We start from the raw sequence: 19,166 nt of genomic DNA on the forward strand, positions 1-19,166 counted from the left end.
CCGAGATGCCACCATCGCACTCCAGCCTGGGGGACACAGCAAGACTCCATCTCAAAAAAAATAAATAAATAAATAAATAAATAACAGATCTGACACTTGCAGTGAAGCCACAAGAATTGTGAAATGGCACCTTCTGGTCTCAGGTGGACAGTTTGCTGGGCAGTACTTAAACCTCCCAGCCCTCAGCCTCACCCCAGCTTCCTTGCCTCACTTTGGCCCCCATGCCTCCTGCACAGGAATGGGCTGCCCATGGGGCAGTTCTAGAATGGAGCAAGGATCAGGGAAGGGCTGAGAATGTCTGCTTCAGACAATGCTTGGTAATAAACGGGCTTCCCCTTCAGGCAATCCCATGAGGTCCCTGCATCAAATAGCTCCCAGCCAATGCTCACCCCAATAGCACAGAACCACAGCCCTTCCGCAGCCTCTGACAGTGCATACAGTGAGACCACCTGGCTTCACCTGCTTTCCTGAGGTCAAGATCAACAGTGCCACCAACCAATGCTCTCAAATTGTGTCTCCTTCCCCACCCAGACACAGACACAGTGTCCCTTGTGGACAATGAATCAGAGGATTACTCTACACATGGCCCTACCCGTCAGCCTGCAGCCAAAGCCTGGAAAGCGAAGGGAGGTCCCGACAGACCCAGAGGGCCGGCCGATGTTTCAGTGCCTTCTCCACATGCTCCAGCCTTTTCACGTAACGCACCCAAACATTAAGCACACTTGAAGGGCAGCCACTTTAACTTCCAGGATTGACCGCAGAGTCCCAGGGTGACTGCAGCCTCTGGTCACCAGGGAGTGGGAGCTGTGATTACAAGTTGAGAGGGACGCCTTCTCCACTCCAGAGGAACGGGTCAGGCGGTGCACCACGCTGGGCCCTACCCAGTTTGGTGAAGCTCTTCTTCACAAAGAAGGCACAGAACAGGAGGTAAGGGGTCAAGGCCTGTGAAACTCTGCTGAAAGATGAAGCAACACGTGCTGCTAAAAATCAGCAGGGGATTCTGGCCAGGAAGGGAGCCAAATCAAATGCACGACTATCATGTACCTGATACTGTGCTAGGCATTTTACATACAAAATTTAATCCTCACAACCAAGCTCAACATGGTTATGACTTTCTGTCTTAATCAGGACGGATGAGGTTCTGCCGCAGCAAGGAACAACCCCCAAATCGCAGCAGCTGTACAGGAGAAAGATTTTATTTCTTGCTCATACTATTAATACATGCATCATGGTTCAGGCGGTAATGAGTGTTCTCATCAATCCCACTCCTAGGAACCCAGATGACAGAGCTGCCACCATGTCACCAGTCACTATGCCAAAGGGCGGAGAGAGAGCTCTGGAAAGCATAGCACTGACAATTAAATGCTTGGCCTGGAAAGACACACAGCACTTCTATTCACATCTCACTGGCCAAATCCAGCTACACGCCTTCACTCACCCACCAGAGAGCCAGAAAGTCCAATCCTGCCATATGCCACACTATTTCTGTAAAAAATTTACCGATAAGAAAATAGAAGCTTGCAGGTTAATGATAATGGCAACAACAGTGCTAATCACAGTTGCTTAGTATCATATGCTGGGCACCGTCTCAGCACTTCACGTGTTAACTCACCTCATCCCTACTCAGCCTTAGGTATAACCATCGTCTGCATTTCACAGCTTAGGAAACTGGGCAGGGAGGTGTTAGGCAATTTGCCCAAAGCTACGCAAGGAGTGGGGGCAGAGCCCAGGGCTCTGTCTTGCTGAGTCTGTTCCCACAACTACACTATGTGAGCTCACTGACCCAAGACTGGGGAAGGGGCGGCGTTCAAATCCAGGCCATCCCTCTCTTTGCTGAGCACCAAAGGGGACAGAAGAGAGGTCTGTGGGGCCTCAGCCCTGTGTCCACCAGCAGGTCCCAGCACCAGGACACTGTCCTCTCCGTCTACCCCTTAAGCAGTCCTTCTCCACCAGCTTCTGTGCAACCAGGACAGAGGGATCCCGAAGAGGATTAAGCTCCCAGGCCCCATGGTACCCACTTCTCTCCTATGGGTCACTGGTCCTAGTAGGGAGCAGCCTCTGTGATCAGATAGGGAATCAGGACTGAGAAAGTTCACCTTAGAGAAAGGACCTATCCAGGACTTGCCCAGCTACTCAAAGGCAACGTATGGATTTGGCCAGCTCCTCACCAACAATTTTTTTTTTTTTTTTTTTAAAGAGAAGCCATCTTGCTAAGAAGAGAAGCCAGCCGAACCCTCCCATGGGAGGAACTGTTCAGGCCACACATCCAGCCCGGGGCAGGTGCAGATAGATGCAGCCATGGATGGGCAGCACCTGCCTTTCTGCCCAGCGTCCTGTCTTTTTGAGTGGGAGCTCTACAGACCAAGTGAGAGAGGCCAAAAGCCACACCCAGGAGCTCCACTGTGTTGTCTTTTACTGACATTAACAGTGAGGAGCAAGACAGAAAAGACACTAATGCCCTAGAACCACACTGCCTGACCAAAGTGAGCAGGGAGGAGGCAGTGGATGGGGACACACAGCTTAGTTCTTGGGGAATGAAAAACTCTTCTTCATCGTATGTATAAGGCATAGATACACATGTGGTATTAAAATGCAATGAGGAGGGTGGGTGCAATTAGGAAAAAACATCTAAAATGGCTTAGGGGTAGGGAGGTGCCAACAAGATTGAGAAACACTGCAAACACAACTACTATTTTCACTATGGCTTATTATTTTCAGCTTTTATCCCAAAACAAACACTTTTAAATTATTGCAGTTACAGAATACTATTTTACACTGGTTTTACCTCAACTTTTCACAGAGTTGCCATTTTCCTATTCTGCCCTCACTACTGAACAAAGACTGATTAAAGGCCTGCCAAGTGCAGGCACTGGGGACCCAGCCTTCTGGAGCCCTCAGGAACCTTAGTCTAGTGTCTTTGTGGTTGTCAACTGTAAATTGTAATGTCTGTGGAAACACATCACTATGGTTTACAAATCCATTCACCCATAATTTTCTGAATTTTTATGCAAGGAAAAACTAATGCCTTTTGCTTCTGTTGGTTCACTGTATTCTCTTGAGATAAATCCTTTTGAGAAAAAATGTTTTTATGTCATACCGTCCTAAAAGTTCTATTTACCAGGTAGGCCACCCGCAAGCCACACTTAAACCACCCTGCAACGAAGAGGCTTCTTTCAGCTCAAGGAGGGGTGGCAGCCCCTCTAAACTGTCAAGGCAGATGGAAGGTGCCGCCTGGCTTCTACCTGCCACATGCCAACCCCCTCAGGTTGGGGGTGCTGCCCAGGCTTTCTCTGGACCCCAGAGCTGGGAGTCATCTGCAAGCCCAGCTGCTGCACCAGACGGGAGTAATGCCAATAAAGTGGACTCCACTGCTGTCACCACAGAGGGGACAAAGAACTCAGCACTCAGGTTCACCCATCTGGTGAAGTAACTCGTTTCCTTCCACTTATCCAGAGCAAGCCAGAGACAGAAACAAAGAGGGGCAGCGAGATTGGCTCCCTCCAAAGCAAACGTGGCCTCCTGAGGAGGATTCCCCCTCTATGGCAGGACTGGCCTGGCCCTTTGCAAACAGATGCAGTCTGAGGACCTGGAGGGAGGCTGTCTCTCTTCCTGTCTGGTCCCACAGATGGAGCCATTAAAAGCACTCTGGCCTAGATATCACTTTCAATGAACCACCAGGAGTGACAGTCTTGGAGGAACACAAACATGCAGAACAGAACAAAAAAAGAACAAATGCCAAGCACTGGCCACTTACTGGTAGTGAATTTCTTTCTCCCTGTTCTCCAGAAGCTCTGTTCTTCTCTAGGCTGTCAACGCTGATGCTGAATCAGAATGAGAATGCCTCTCAATTCCCAAAGCCCAAGACACAACTCTTTCTTTACCCGCTGACAGAGATGAGAGCAAGGGGAGCATAGTTGGCACAATCTCTTCAGACAACAATTGGGAAACATCTTACAAAATGACAAATGCATGTGCCCTCTGCCCCAGCATTTCCACTCCTAAAAATTTCCCTTCCATCATGCCTGCACATGGTTACAAAATGGTTACACACCGCAGCATGGTTACAAAAGGAGGGGCTGCGAACAACTACAATGTTCACGAATAAGAGGCCTGGTGAGATAAACCTGGGTACACGCACAGAGTGGAGTTCCACACAGCTATCTAAAAAAAACCAAAGGGGCCGGGCGCAGTGGCTCATGCTTGTAATCCTAGTACTACTTTGGGAGGCCAAGGTAGGTGGATCACCTGAGGTCAGGAGTTCCAGACCAGCCTGGCCAACATGGTGGTGGCGGGCACCTGTAATCCCAGCTACTCAGGAGCCCGTATCCCAGCCCGTATCAATGAACTTTTGTACTCAGTGGCATTCCCATCTGACAGCCTGTCCTGCACTTTGAATGGATTGTTTACCCATGTGTGATTCTGTAACATCAGGCATCGGCCATTTGGAAAACATCGGTTCACTGAGTTATGCACTCTGGAGAGAATGAGTGAAAAGGGCAAATAATGTTTTAGTATTACCACAAAAATAGTTTTGACCTTGTGGACTCTCCACCAAGAGAATCTCAGGGACACCCAGACCACACTTTGAGAACATTGCGGTAGCGGATTTTTCTTTTTTTGTTTTTTGAGACAAAGTTTCGTTCTTTTTGCCCAGGCTGGAGTGCAGCAATGGTGTGATGTCGGCTCACTGCAACCTCCACCTCCTGGGTTCAAGCAATTCTCCTGCCTCAGCCTCCCAAGTAGCTGGGATTATAGGTACATGCCACCATGCCGGCTAATTTTTTCTATTTTTAGTAGAGACGGGGTTTCACCATGTTGGCCAGGCTGGTCCTGAACTCCTAATCTCCAGTAATCCACCTGCCTCGGCCTCCCAAAGTGTTGGGATTACAGATGTGAGCCACCGCGCCTGGCCAGAAGATTTTTCTTATCTTCCACACTAACCACTGTTTTTTTTAAGAACTAAGAAAAAGAAAATTCTGTAGGAAGCATGGGGGCCTATGCAGGGGGTCTCCATCCCGTTTGTACTGTGATGCACTAGAGCCTGCTGTCACCGGAGGCAGCTGGACCCAGTACCCTCTCACCCACTGCTGGCTGCCTCCCTCTAATGACCTGGCCCTGCCTGCTCCTCCCTTCATTATCAAAAGCCTTCTCTCACCCACAGGACCACCTCATCCTTCTCCAAAAAAAAAAAGACCTTGGGTTTGCAGAGGACAGGCCCTCCAGTAGCAAAGTACAGGGGCCGTGAGTAGACTGCTACACTTGGGCTTTGCAGTTGATAATTCTCGGTCTCTTGAAATTACATATGTACGTTTATTTATAGCAAAAACATGGGTGCCCATAAATAGCCAGTCATTCATATACACATTTTTAGCATATGGTTTAGCCACCAAGTTCCACTGCATCATCCTTCCTGGGACCTTGCATTGGGGTTTTCCTTCCCAGTCTTGCGTCACCACTGCAGGCCAGGTTATGGTCAGGCCCCTGAACCCTTTCTTCCCACACCTACCAACCCAGTGCCAAATTGTGAGCGCTCCTGCTCAAAAGCCTTCAAGGAGGCTTTCACATCCAAGCTGTGTTCAATCGGTTCCCTTTCCAGCTTTGTCCCACCCCCAGCCCCTCTTCCTCCCTCTCTCGGCTTTAGCTCTCCCCCTCCCTTCCTCTCATTCTCCCTGCTCAGCCCCACACCCTCACCTCCCCAATCTCTCCTTTCATAGCTACACCCCACTCTGGATTTTACATTTGTCGGGTATGTGGATGGCCTTGTCCACAGTACATGCTCAGAAAATGAATGCAGTAAGTACACTGAAATCTGAGCACCTACAATGTGGTGCCCCATGCGACACACAGGGCATATGGCATGCAGTAAATAACATAATTTTGTCTTGTCTCCTAGAATGAACGTTCTTCTGCCCTCTGTGCCTTTGCTGCAGCACGGTAGCCTTTCTTCTACTGCTGGACAGCACTGTTCACTCCTCAGGTCACTGCGTATTGTGCCCTTCTCTGTACTGGCAGCTCAAGGACATTGTTCTGTGTCATCTTTGCTACCTAGAATCGATTAGATGCTTAATAAATACTGCTGAATGAAATGGGGATTAGCCACAATACCCACGGGAGAAAGAATCAAAATGATCCAGAGATCTGTTAGACCCACCTGAGAGTTCCCTGGTGCCTGCCTGGTACCTGCCGTATTATATGCAATATAATCAACATATACCATATTTAAACATTTTATTTATTATTTATTTTGAGACATAGTCTCACTCTATCGCCCAAGCTGGAGTGCAGCAATGCGACCTCGGCTCACTGCAATCCTCCAGCTCCTGGGTTCAAGCTATTCTCCTGCTTCAGCCTCCCAAGTAGCTGGGATTACCACGGCTGGCTAATTTTTGTATTTTTTTTTTTGGTAGAGATGAGGTTTTGCCATGTTGGCCAGGCTGGTCTCGAACTCCTGACCTCAGGTGATCCACCTGCCTTGGCCTCCCAAAGTGCTGGGATTACAGGCATGAGCCACTGTGCCCAGCCATATTTAAACATCTTAGGCCAGGAGTGATGGTTCATGCCTATAATCACAGCACTTTGGGAGGCTGAGGTGGGCGGATCACCTGAGGTCAGGAATTCAAGACTAGCCTGGTCAACATGGTGAAACCCCCTCTCTACTAAAAATAGAAAAATTAGACAGGCTTGGTGGCAGGCATCTGTAATCCCAGCTACTCAGGAGGCTGAGACAGGACTATCGCTTGAACCCAGGAGGTGCAGCTTGCAGTGAGCTGAGATCGCACCACTGCACTCCAGCCTGGGTGACAGAGCAAGACTCCACCTCAATAAAAAAAAAAAAAAAAAAGAATTTTAAATGCTAGATGGGAAAAAGCAAACCTTAACTCTTTTCTGGATGGTGTTCCATAAATCATACAAAGCGAATTGCAGATACCGACCTTGGGCAGCCTACCAGGAAGGTTAGATGCTAAGAGTCCCTGGTTTCAAATCCCAGCACTGCCATTGCTACCTGTAAAACTGGTCCAAGATACTGAAATTCTCTGAGACTCAGTTTTCTCATCTGAAAAACAGGGGTGACAATAACTGTCCTGACCTCGAGGTACCATCCTCAGAATTAAGAGAGAATACACGTAAAGAGTGTAGCATGGTGGGACACAAATTTTGCTTGATTCATGACAGCTGCTGTTATTAATCATATTGTTATTGATGCAGGTCCATGGATGTCGACCTGATTCCTGTGATCATGACAGAGATTTTCAAATCTAATTAATGTGTGCTACATAGGTAATTAATGGTGTTACTGATCAATTGGTTGACCTTAAAGAAGGGAGATTATCTGGGTGAGCCTGATCTAGTCAATAAGCCCCTTAAAAGCAGAGTTGGCTGGGCACGGTGGCTCATGCCTGTAATCCCTGCACTTTGGGAGGCCAAGGCAGGCGGATCACCGGAGGTCAGGAGTTCGAGACCAGCCTGGCCAACATGATGAAACCCCGGTATCTACTAAAAATATAAAAAATTAGCCAGGCTTGGTGGCACACACCTGTAATCCCAGCTACTCAGGAGGCTGAGGCAGAAGAATTGCTTGAACCTGGGAGGCAGAGGTTGCAGTGAGCTGACGTTGCTCTACTGCACTCAGCCCAGGCAACAACAGCGAAACTCCATCTCAAAAAAAATAAAAAAATAAAAAAAAAAGCAGAGTTTTCTCCAGCTGGTCCCAAAAGTAAAAGAGTCGGAGATTCAAAGCAAGAAAGGATGTGACACATCACTGCAGGTTTGAAGATGGAGGGCATTGAGACTAGAACCCGGCTGCAGCCAGCAAGGAAATGGGGACTGACCTCAGTCCTACGACCATAAGGAACTCGATTCTGCCAAAAACCTGAGCCTGGAAGCAGATTCTTCACCAGAGCCTCAAGAGCCCAGTACAGCTGCACCTTGATTTTGGACTTGTGAGACCCTAAGTAGAGAACCCAGTCAGGCCAGCCCAGACTTCCAGCCTACAGAACTGTGCATTAATCAATAGGAACTGATTAAGCCACTAAGCCTGTGATGATGTGTTATGCTGTAACAGAAACCAATATAAGCCCCACCTGGCCTCTAGTCATAATGTATAGACATTAAAAACACACCAGGTAATTATCCAAAAGGAGCAGAAGACAACTCACGCTTTCTGCATTTTCAATTCCTGGACATGTGATGCTAGAGAGCAGAGACTGATGTATTTCTTTTTTCTTTTTTTTTTTTTTTCTGAGACAGTGTCTCTCTCTGTCACCCAGGTTGGAGTGCAGTGGTGTGATCTCGGCTCACTGCCAGCTCCGCCTCCCGGGTTCACACCATTCTCCTGCCTCAGCCTCCTGAGTAGCTGGAACTACAGGCGCCCACCACGACGTCCGGCTAATGTTTTGTATTTTTAGTAGAGACGAGGTTTCACAATGTTAGCCAGGATGGTCTCGATCTCCTGACCTCGTGATCTGCCTGCCTCAGCCTCCCAAAGTGCTGGGATTACAGGCATGAGCCACCACGCCCGGCCAACTGATGTATTCCTATATCCTGGTCCTTAGCAGAGTGGGTAGTATAGAGCAGGTTCTCAATTTCATTTAACAAAGTTTCAACCTTCTGGGCAGTCAGAACTACATTGCTTACAGCTTTGGAGCTGCCCTGGCAGCCAGGTACAATTATCTGAGCAAAACCCAGCAAAGTCCTTTTTTTTTTTTTCCACCTAGAGGAAACTCCAGGCACAGGAAGTGGTTCAGACAAAGCCACCCAGCAACCAGGGTAGGTGTGTGTCCACATGCAAACGTGTCTTGCTTTGTACAACACAGCAAAGGACCATGTGCAGTGGCCCCTGCCTCAGCCCGCAGCAGCCTCCCACGGCTTAGCTAACCAGCCAAACCCTGGCATTTTGCTTGTAATTGTACCTCCCAGTAAAAAGTCCTGGTTGGAGTGGTAAAAATAGCAACTGCAACTTCCTGCAACACAGATATACCAGTTGATGCCTGAAAAGAAACCTGGTGATTCGACCTCACTCCAACTCAGCGAAATGCCTTCAAGCTGCGCTCACAATGGCAGTGGGACAGGAGCCCAGCAAAGGCAGCCGACCCACCCCCCCGCCCCAGGAGGACCCATGCAAAACCAGCTCTAGAGTGAGATGCTTCCCTTACTCTCTTAATGAAACACCCAACTCTCAGAATCAGGAGGTGTCTAATAAACGCAAAAACTGCTTTCAGCGAGGCCCCTCCCCTTTCCCTTCTCCTGCTCACTAGCTGCAGAGGTATAAAGGCAGAAGCCCTCCCTACCAAAGCCCTTTGAGGGTCCCATTGTCCCCTTGGTTACCCTCTCCCTTCCCCCTACCTACATCTGTCCCTGAGATTGTTCCAAGTAGGTCAGGCTGGCTGGGATCACAGGAGCCTCCTCTGAAGCTTGGTTCTGAGTCATCTCCAGGGCAGCAGGGGAGTCATGGCCAAACCTGGATGTTGCTTCCTGAAGGGTGGGGAGAGCCTGGCCAAAACGTCCCCAGGTACCCAGCAGTAATGAATTCCTCTGGGGCCCAGGCCATGGTCAGCAGTTCCCTGGCTCCTCTATCATGGGGCCCGATGCCTCCTGGGACCACACAGGCAAGTAAACAGGGTTTAGTCTGTGGTGGCCACTGCCCCTTTCTGGGCCTTTCTCTGGACCAGCTACGGAACTCTCTCTGTCCTCCTGGCTCATTTCTTTATTCCTGCAGACAGGTGACAGATCATTGACTAAGCCAGCCCTCTGAGAAGAGCTCTCAAGCCCAGCCAGATGGCTCTCAGCCAGGTAAGGCCCCGTGCATCTCTGGGACAATAGGCAGACACCTCCCACCTAAGGCCAGCTCCACTGCACAAGGGCAAAGTCACCCCAGCTCCTCCCCTGGATATGCTGGCTGTTTAGAAACACCTGAATTCACTCAAATGTTCCAGATATTTCCATTTCGCTAGTAAAAACCATGCCTCTTCATGTTTGCAGAGCTTTTCAGCATAAAATGAACTTTCAGGAATGTTTTCCCATGCAAAAAATACAGCAGCCTAGTGGGGGGCAGGGGCGGGCAGGGATTAAAGGGCTTCATTTCACAGATGAGTACCCAGCTGAGGTCAGGAGACCAATAAGAGGCAGAACCAGCACTCAATAAACTTTGATCTTCTGGAAAGACAAAAGTGGACTAGAATCAAAGGACAAAGCCTGAATAAACATTTTTTTTAATGGAACAATGAGATTCCACCCGCCCCCCCACCCCATCACATTAGCTAAAACTAAAAATGTGGATAACATCAAAAATTTGGGGGCTGGGCGCAGTGGCTCACGCCTGTAATCCCAGAACTTTGGGAGGCCGAGGCAGGTGGATCACCTGAGGTCAGGAGTTTGAGACCAGCCTGGCCAACATGGAGAAACCCAGTCTCTACTAAAAATACAAAATTAGCTGGGCGTGGTGGCGCTTGCCTGTAATCCCAGCTACTTGGGAGGCTGAGGCAGGAGAATCGCTTGAACCTGGGAGGCAGAGGTTGCTGTAACCTGAGATCATGCCATTGCACTCCAGCCTGGGTGACAAGAGCGAAACTCAGTCTCAAAAAAAAATTAGGTGAGTCTGTAGAGAAATGGGCATTCAGGCACTATTATTAGTGAAAGAGTAAACTGGGTAAATCTTTGCAAAGGGCATTTGGCTTTGACAATGAAAATTTAAAATAATCACACTTGCTCAGAAAGATGCATGATGAAGGACACACAAGATTTCATTGATCATACAGGGAAAATGAGGCATTACCTAAAGTCTCTCCTTAGGACACAATGAGAGGAAATGATGGTTTGGCTGCAGTGTGGAATATGACGACGCTGTGAAAAAGAGCTCCACCACACACTAAGTGGTATAAGTTGTAGAGTATTGAGTATGATTCAAATTATGTAAACACAAAATCTGCACATACAACGGAGGACTAGAAGGGTATGCACCCATCTGTGGACAGATACAAAGGAGGGGATGGACCCTCACACTGTGCTCCATCTTTTCCTATATTTTTCATTTATAAAGGAAATCCTAGCTGGGCGTGGTGGCTTGCGCCTGTAATCCCAGCTACTTGGGAGGCTGAGGCAGGAGAATTGCTTGAACCCGGGAAGCGGAGGTGAGCTGAGATCGCGCCACCGCACTGCGGCCTGGGCAATGAGAGGGAAACTAGATCTCAAAAAAAAAAAAAAAAAAAAAAGGAAATCCATTGATATATTATTTAAATCAGAGAAAAACAATAAAATGAAAGAGAACAATGTTATCCTCAGTCTCTCCCTGCACCAGAAGACTGCAGAATGTCAGGGTCTGGCACCTCTCTGTGCCTCATGATGTCTCTGTCCGCAGCCCACGCAGGCCCAGCCTTTGCACGAGCTGTGCTACCCACCTGGCAGGCCTTTCTCTGATCCTCCCACGGCTGGCTCAAATGTCACCACCCCAGAGAGGCCTTCCTTGACCCCTCTTCGGAGGGCATCCTCACTTGACCATCTTCCCACACCTCCCTGTCCACTTCCTCTGCAGCTGCATATTTTTGTCAGTCTGTTGTCTGCCTCCCTCAGCTGAATGTGGGATCAGGAGAGGGTCGGGGAGGACCTTGCCTTGTTCTCCACTGAATCCCAGAGCCCGGCAGAGAACAGATGGGGGAAAAAAATTCCCTGGACACATTTGAAATGAGGAAACCAACAGTCCACTTCCTCACCTCATCAATGAGGAAACTGAGGCAGATTCTCAACATGCCCACTATTGAGACCCTAGCGCTGTGCCATACCCGCCTGTCTGCCTCCCACATCAGACGCTGAGCTCCCAAGCAGGAGCTCTTTGAACCTGACTTTCTTTCCTCAGCTTCTAGTCCACGGCGAGCCATTCAGAAAACTAAATAAATGTTTGTTGCATGAACAAAGCTGGGTACCTTTCTCCCTCAGATTTCCAAGCCTGTGAACAACAAAAGCGTTCACAGGTTAAGGGACTTGCTGCCAAGGTCTCACAAGCCCAGCTGGCTAGGGTGCAGAACATGAACTCCGGACAATGGATGGAATCGCCATGGTTTTCTAGAAAAAGAGCTCCTCCATCTCTTGGCCCTCACTCCTCTCAGACAAATTGGCCTGGCCAACAGCAAACCTGGCTGGCAGCTTGTCCTGGAGTTTGAATGAGCACAGCTTCTCCTTATCTTAATTAGGAAATTAATTCTGCTCAGCCTAGATGGATCTGTGGTCAGCCTCTCCTTGGGGGCCCAATGGGAACAGGCAAAAAATGTAAGCAAGGCTTTTTTGTCTCCATCCTTTCCCTGCATCCTACTCCTCACCACTCGGCTGATGGTGGAAGGCTCCTCCTGGCAGAGATGGGTGGGGAGTGACACCTAAGGTGAATGTGGCCCTTGAGCTGGTGGCAGCAGGCACAGCGCTCCCATGGCCTGCTCAGCCCTGCTTCCCCGTGGGAGGAGCCATCCAACTGGTCTTGCAGGCTGGTGCTCAGTCGCCTCCTCCTGCCCTGCTGGGCTCCCTTGAGATCCCTTTTTTTTTTTTTGACAGAATTTTACTCTGTTGCCCAGGCTGCAGTGCCATGGCGCGATCTCGGCTTACTGCAACTTCTGCCTCCGGGGTTCAAGCGATTCTCCTGTCTCAGCCTCCCAAGTAGCTGGAATTATAGGCGCCTGCCACCATGTCCAGCTAATCTGCTGAAGATCTCCCTTGCTCCTCAAAGCTCGTTGTCCAACTCTCTGCTGGGAGGTGGCCCTGGCTCTGTGCCCAAGGGACATCCCACCAGGGAAGTCTCACCCTAGTCATTCCAGAGGGGGTCATCCTGGTGCTCCCACGAACTGCTGCCCAGCTCCCTGCCCACGACCAGTCAGAGCGATGGCCCTGAGAAATGAGTAACCCACACACCACCTTCCCTTGAGCCCACGCCTGCTCCCCTAAGCCCAGCCTGGTGCTCCCCTGATGCAGTCTTCTGTCTCCACCAGCCCCTTCGCAGGAGGCCTCAAACTCTGAGGCAGTGGGCAGGGACAGGGAACTGCCAGAGGCTCAAGGAGAACAGCCCCGTCCCTTTGGAGTTACTGGGAAAATCTGAATCGAGTCTTCAGGAAACTAGGAGCTTGCCTACGTCACCCCTCTCACTCTACAGGTGAAAAAACTAGATCCCAGAGAAAGTAACTTGCCCAATTCCCACAGCACACATCCAAGGCAGAGCTGGAACTAGAACCCCATTCCTGACTTCTTTTGTTGTTGTTGTTGAGACGGAGTTTCGCTCTTGTCACCCAGGCTGGAGTGCAATGGTGCAATCTCGGCTCGCTGCAACCTCCGCCTCCCAGTTCAAGTGATTCTCCTGCCTCAGCCTCCCAAGTAGCTGGGATTACAGGCATGAGCCACCACACCCAGCTAATTTCGTATTTTTAGTAAACAAGCGGTTTCTCCATGTTGGTCAGGCTGGTCTCAAACTCCCGACCTCAGGTGATCCGCCCACCTCGGCCTCCCAAAGCACTGGGATTACAGGGGTGAGCCACCTCGCCCGGTCCATTCCTGACTTCTAAATTGGCCCCTCTGTACTCTACTGGCTGTTCAAGCTCTTCCTGACCAGAAAGGCTAAGCAAGTAACTCGAGCCTTATAAAACTGCTGAACACCAGAGCTTGCAAGAACTTTTGAAATTTTATAGCAAAACATTTAATAGAAGTATTATACAGGAGAGCAAATTGAGGCTCACAGGGGTAAGGGAACCTGCATGTAGTCACACAGGCAAGCTGGGGCCAAGCACGACTCCCCTACTCTGACTCAAGTGCTCTTTCTGCCAACAGGTTCCAGGTCTGAGGGCTCTAGCTATGGGATGGTGAAGAGACGGAGTTGGCCTCGGGCCTTGGTCACGCTGAAACAAGAAGTGGCCCAGGTGAGCCTCATACAGACTCTGTACCCAACTCAGGGAACAGGAGACCACTGTGGGAGAAAAGTATGACCAGGAAGATTTTTATGTATTTGCAGAAAATATGGTGCAATTTCTCAATGAAATTGATTTCTGAGACCACAGAGCTGCCATTTAAAAAAAAAAAAAAAAGGCCAGGTGCGGTGGCTCACACCTGTAATCCCAGCACTTTGGGATGCCAAGGCAGGTGGATCACGAGGTCAGGAGTTCAAGACCAGCCTGGCCAACATGGTGAAACCCTGTCTCTACTAAAAATACAAAAAGCCGAGCATGGTGGCGGGTGCCTGTAATCCCAGCTACTGGGGAAGCTGAGGCAGACAACTGGTTGACTTGAGAGGTGGAGATTGCAGTGAGCTGAGATCACACCACTGCACTCCAGCCTGGGCTACAAGGTAAGACTCAGTCTCAAAAAAAAAAAAAGAAAAATGCCAGGCACAGTGGCTCATGCCTGTAATCCCAGCACTTTAGGAGGCTGAGGCGGGTGGATCACCTGAGATCAGGAGTTCAAGACCAGCCTGGACAACATGGAGAAACCCCGTCTCTACAAAAATACAAAAATTAGCCAGGCATGGTGGTGTGTGCCTGTAATCCCAGCTACTCAGGAGGCTGAGGCGGGAGAATCACTTGAATCCAGGAGGCAGAAGTTGCAGTGAACCAAGATGGCGCCATTGCACTCCAGCCTGGGCGACAGAGCGAGACTCCTTCTCAAAAGAAAAAAAGGTTAATAAGCCACACACATCTATCGTTTATCATCCAACAGGGTGCTGGGACAGGGCTTGGAAGGAAAGCAGGAAAGGTTTAGCAGTAAGAAAGAGTGGCAAGAGAGGTAGGGGGCGGGGGTGAGGTGACTGGGGACTCAGGGGAGGGCTGCAAGTCAGCTGCAGAGCAACAAGCACCCAACCTCAATTCTGCACCCAGGGAACAAAAACAAAAAAGGGAAAGGGGAGCCCGGCATGACTGACACCCACTTGGTGCCAGACCCCATTCTAGGGGATTCTGCATAGTATGGTGGTTAACCTTCACCATACCCCTGAAAAAAGCTAACAAAGCTCAATGAGGTTAAGGAACTTGATCACAGACCCACAGCATTTGAACCCCAGTCTGGTGCCAAAGCCCATGCTCTTTCCACTGCTCCTGGGTTAAAAGGACTTAACAGGGAGCCCTTCCTATCCCCAAACCCCTTCGCTTCCCCACCTAATCCCACAGCACCCCTTCCCCAGTTTCTAACAGCCCCAGAAGGACCTGGAGGCAGTATGGGATGATTATGCCTTGAAGATGACAGGTGTCAGCTTTTGACAGCTTTAGGTTGGTATGGCAATGAGGTGGTCAAGGAAAGGGGTTGGAACCTACTGTAGGGGCTGGGCTGACTTCCATCAGCTGGGGATAGCTGCTGATTGATAAGTCCTGTTGGGATGCTGTGACTGAAAGCTGTGGATGCTTAAGTTCTCCCTCCTCCCTCCTCCCCTGCACCTCCCTCCTCTACCCCCAGCTTGTTCCAACTAAGTGTTTCCTGGTGAGGAAAATGCTTCAACAGCCTTGGCTGGCTGAGGCAATTAAATTATGAAATTTACCACATTAGATGAAAACCAGCATCTCAATCAACCAATTCATTTGTGTCTGGCCACTCTGTTTTCTTGTGCCAGCTCTGCCCACACTGGCCAGGCTATGCCTACACTGCCTGGTGGTACAGAGGGACTAGGGGCTCAGACAATGGGCTGGTCTTTGGGACCAGGGGGTAGGTTCTCCCAGGACCCCCAGAGAAGAGAGGCTGCATCCAGAAGCCATCCAGCTTCCTACAAATGCGCTGGACTGCTGACTGTGCGGCCAGACACTACGGACGAGAGCAAACCTTCTACCACCTCCCACTTGCATTCTCCATGGCCTCAACCTGTGCCTATCTTGAGGCTGGCAATGAATTGGGCCTCTGGGAGAAGTGTGGGTGAGCGACAGGACAAAGGTGGCTGCCCTACACCTCGAATCTGGGCGATGACATGCCTTTCTCATCTTAGTCAAGGCATCCTCTCCCCAGGAAGCCTTGCCCACCTGTGTCTCCTTCTCTCCTCTTGCTGCCTCTATCACTACGATGTGTCAGGGCCCCTAATCCATGTGCCAGCACTCCCTCATCTAGGTGCTCACTAAAGGAAGAGTCTCCAGCACCTAACTCAGGGCCTGGCACACAGCAGGTGCCCAATCAAGTCTGTTCAAACAATGAATCAATCAATCAATCAGTCACAAACCACCCACTAAATAACACTCTCACTCATCCTACCCTTCCCCCCGCCCCCGCCCAAGTGATAGACGGGACGAACCAAGCTTGCTTTCACTGGGTAATTGTTCTCTTTTCTTCCTGCTCTCTTCTGCCCACACGGGGTGCCCGCAGATTTAAAACGCTATTAAGGGGCATCGGGCTGCAGAACCTGCTTCCGATGTGGAGCATGCAATTTGCCTATAGCTCTTCTCTCCGCACCACATACATAAATCCAACTGCAGCCCAAGACCCCAGGATGAAGGTGTCTTCCATTTCTACCTCCCTTTTATCAACCACCCTGGAGTCACTGCCTGACAAATGACTCAAAACTGAAATAGCTGCCAGGCCGGAAAAAGACTGACTACGTCAACCTTCACAGGCACAGCTTGTGGACCCAAGAGCCTCCGGTCTTGGGACACCAAATGGACCCTGAGGTGGGGTAGACTTTGTGTCCTACTCTTCCCCAGACCCCCACGCAAGCCTTCACCAACATGCCAGGAATCCTCACAGCTCAGATCAGCACACTGAGCATCAGTTCCTCCTATGAATGGGGAGACTGGGACCCAGGGTCCCAGAGGGCTTGGCCCCATAACGGTCACTGGAATCTGGTCCAGGATACAGACCGTGGAATCCTGCCTCCTCTCCTGGTGCTACTGCTAACTTCCTTCCCTTCCTCTCTCTATTGGGCCGATAGAGTGGAACCAAATGGTCCAGACACCTGGCATTCTCTGCCCTGACTACCGAGGAGAGTCAAAGTCCAGCCCGCCTTCCCCAAGGTCAAATTCACCGGGATCCAGCAGGACCCAAGAGCGTCCAGATTAAATCTGCAGGGGCCTGGGTCCGCCCCCTCACCCACAGTTCGTTGGGTCAGGCCTCTAGAGAGATGTTTCTTTGTTCAAAGACAATGGGAATGCACTTTGGGGGCTTAGAGCAGCAACACAAAAAAAGTATCTGGTATCTCCCGGGCACAATCCCCCAAGAGAAAAGCTTCTAAAGCAACTACGAAAGAGACAGGGGGAGTGGGGGCGTAACATCGCGCGGTGTGTCTCGGAGCCAGGGCAAGTGTGGTAATTAGAGTCAGGCTAGAGGGCTTGCTCTGGACCTGCCAGTCTGGCCGCCACCCAGGTGGACAGGTGGGTGTGCCTTTGAGTGCGACCTTTCTCTGCCGCTGGACAGTTCTGCAAACCGAAACGAGGGACCCTGGCAGGCGGAACGTGAACGGCTCGGGGCTCCGCGGCCAGGCCCGCGCAAACCCTCCCCTTGTGAACCCCGGGCCCTCGCTCTGCGCCAGGCAGGCAGCCATCCGGCCTGGGCGTCCAAGGCGCGGGGCATCGCCGCTCGCGTCCTCAAAGACAAGCAGTCTCTCTTTCCAGGATCAATAGTAATTTTTTAAAAAAAAGAGTCTGCGGACTCAATGAATCAACCACTCCCTGGGGAAAGAGTAGCGGCTCCCGCGCGCAACATCCATTTGCCAAACAATTCATTCCCTCGCGCAGAGCTCTCGGCGAATTCCCTCGCGGAGCCGCGGGGTGCCGGCCGGCCGCCGCTCCCCACCATTGTCCCAGGGCCCCGGCCCCAGCCGCGGGGCCCCCTCCCGGGACACGTAGTCCCGCGGGGGCTCCGAGCGCTTGGTCCCGGCCCGGCCCGGGGTGGTGAGTCCCCAGCGCAGGGAGCGGGGGCGCGGGTGCTGCGGCCAGAGCACGGCGTCCCCGCCCGGCCTGGATACTCACTGCCGGAGACGATCCCCGCCGCCGCCGCCGCCTCAGAGACCACTCCCGGCAGCCCGCGCGAGCTCAACAGGCTCCGCCGCGGCTCCCGTCGGCCGGCTCTCCACAGGCAAAAACGCTCTCGCTGCGATACAGCCTAGGCGCCGCCAACAAACTAGTTTCTCCGGCCTTCCCGCCCCGCCTCCCGGCCCGAAGAGCAGCAGCCAATCAGAGGCATCGCCTCTGTGACGGATGGGCAGCCGAACCCTTCAGTGCAGCCGCAGAAAAGAAGGGGGTGGGCCCCAGGCCGCGCCGGCACCGGGGGGTGGGGGGCCGGGGGCGGGGAGGGGGGGGGACCGGGGGCGGGGCGGGGCGAGGAAAAGGACTTCGACCAGATTCTTAAAGAGACAGGCGCCTGCCCAACCCCGCCGCCCAAGTTTGGGAACAAAACGCGACGGTGTTCTAGAGCTTTCCAGAGGGAGCACTGTAGATTGCATATGCCTCTTTTGTGTTCGGGTCACAAGTGTTGTAGATCTCTTTAGACTCTTCAGAGCCACACTAGTAGTTGCCCGAGTGTTAATGAAACCCTGTCTTTCACTCTGGGCTTGTTTGAATGTTTGGGACTTTCTGCAGCCTCCAAACCCCACCTGTACTTGAAATCTGTATTTTTTGGAGTATTTCAGCTCTCCTCTCTGTGTCATTTCTCACTAAACTCCTTTCGTAAGCCAGCCTTTAAATGTTCGTTCATTCATTCATTCATCCATCCATCCAATAATTTCTTCCAGGAACGTTTCCTGGACGCCCACACCATGCACTCATCTTGGAGGGGGAGAACGGTTTGTGATTCTTCGTCCTTTTCCCTCCTGACTACTACTTCAGCTTACTGTGTGTGTCCAATCTCATCCGTAAAGCGGCAGATAAAAACTCCTCATCGGATTATTTGGGGGATTAAAGGAGACAAATTCCCAGACAAATGAGTGCGCAATAAATGTCCTCTCTTTTCTCCCTCCCAATGAAAATCGATAATTCAAGTAGGTTGCTTAAGGATACAAAAGGTAAAGCATAGAAAGTGATAAGAACGAAAGAGCCAAGCCTGGGGCGGGGAAATTCCCAGGAAGCAGAGGTCACCCTGACGGAGGTGGAGGTGGGAGGTGCAAGGAAGGTCTAAGAAAGTGTACAAAGATTTGGGAGAGGGGATAGGATTGTGACTAGTGGAACCTGGGAAATAGAGCCCCTGGGTAGAAAGCTGCTTAGACAGGACAGATATGCCAGGGTTAAAAGACTGGGAGATGATGA

General features: G+C 50.9%; 1 protein-coding gene across 3 annotated transcripts in view, besides 4 other annotated features; it reads right to left on the bottom strand.

The window, feature by feature from the left end:
* Positions 1 to 18,054, bottom strand: part of KLHL25 (kelch like family member 25) — a 35,600-nt gene extending 17,546 nt beyond the window's left edge. Inside the window, exon 1 of one of the 3 annotated variants that reach the window (NM_022480.4) lies at positions 17,895 to 18,054. The gene's annotated coding sequence lies outside the window, so the exon portion shown is untranslated. Of the gene's footprint in view, positions 1 to 3,754; positions 3,840 to 9,346; positions 17,813 to 17,894 lie in introns of those variants that run through there. The other 2 variants (XM_047432938.1, XM_047432937.1) reach the window with 2 other exon arrangements.
* Positions 677 to 1,176: an enhancer, noted in NCBI's record as "H3K4me1 hESC enhancer chr15:86320779-86321278 (GRCh37/hg19 assembly coordinates)". NCBI's record gives its function as "activates a minimal SCP1, AML or CMV promoter by ChIP-STARR-seq in primed H9 embryonic stem cells {active_cell/tissue: H9 hESC(primed)}" and the evidence as "EXISTENCE:reporter gene assay evidence [ECO:0000049][PMID:30033119]".
* Positions 11,978 to 12,662: an enhancer, noted in NCBI's record as "H3K4me1 hESC enhancer chr15:86332080-86332764 (GRCh37/hg19 assembly coordinates)". NCBI's record gives its function as "activates a minimal SCP1, AML or CMV promoter by ChIP-STARR-seq in naive H9 embryonic stem cells {active_cell/tissue: H9 hESC(naive)}" and the evidence as "EXISTENCE:reporter gene assay evidence [ECO:0000049][PMID:30033119]".
* Positions 17,725 to 18,024: a silencer, noted in NCBI's record as "silent region_6786". NCBI's record gives its function as "represses an Ori minimal core promoter by ATAC-STARR-seq in GM12878 lymphoblastoid cells {active_cell/tissue: GM12878}" and the evidence as "EXISTENCE:reporter gene assay evidence [ECO:0000049][PMID:35858748]".
* Positions 18,175 to 18,244: a silencer, noted in NCBI's record as "silent region_6787". NCBI's record gives its function as "represses an Ori minimal core promoter by ATAC-STARR-seq in GM12878 lymphoblastoid cells {active_cell/tissue: GM12878}" and the evidence as "EXISTENCE:reporter gene assay evidence [ECO:0000049][PMID:35858748]".

This window comes from Homo sapiens, chromosome 15 (assembly GCF_000001405.40).
Source record: "Homo sapiens chromosome 15, GRCh38.p14 Primary Assembly".
In the NCBI taxonomy this organism is placed as follows: Eukaryota; Metazoa; Chordata; class Mammalia; order Primates; family Hominidae; genus Homo; species Homo sapiens.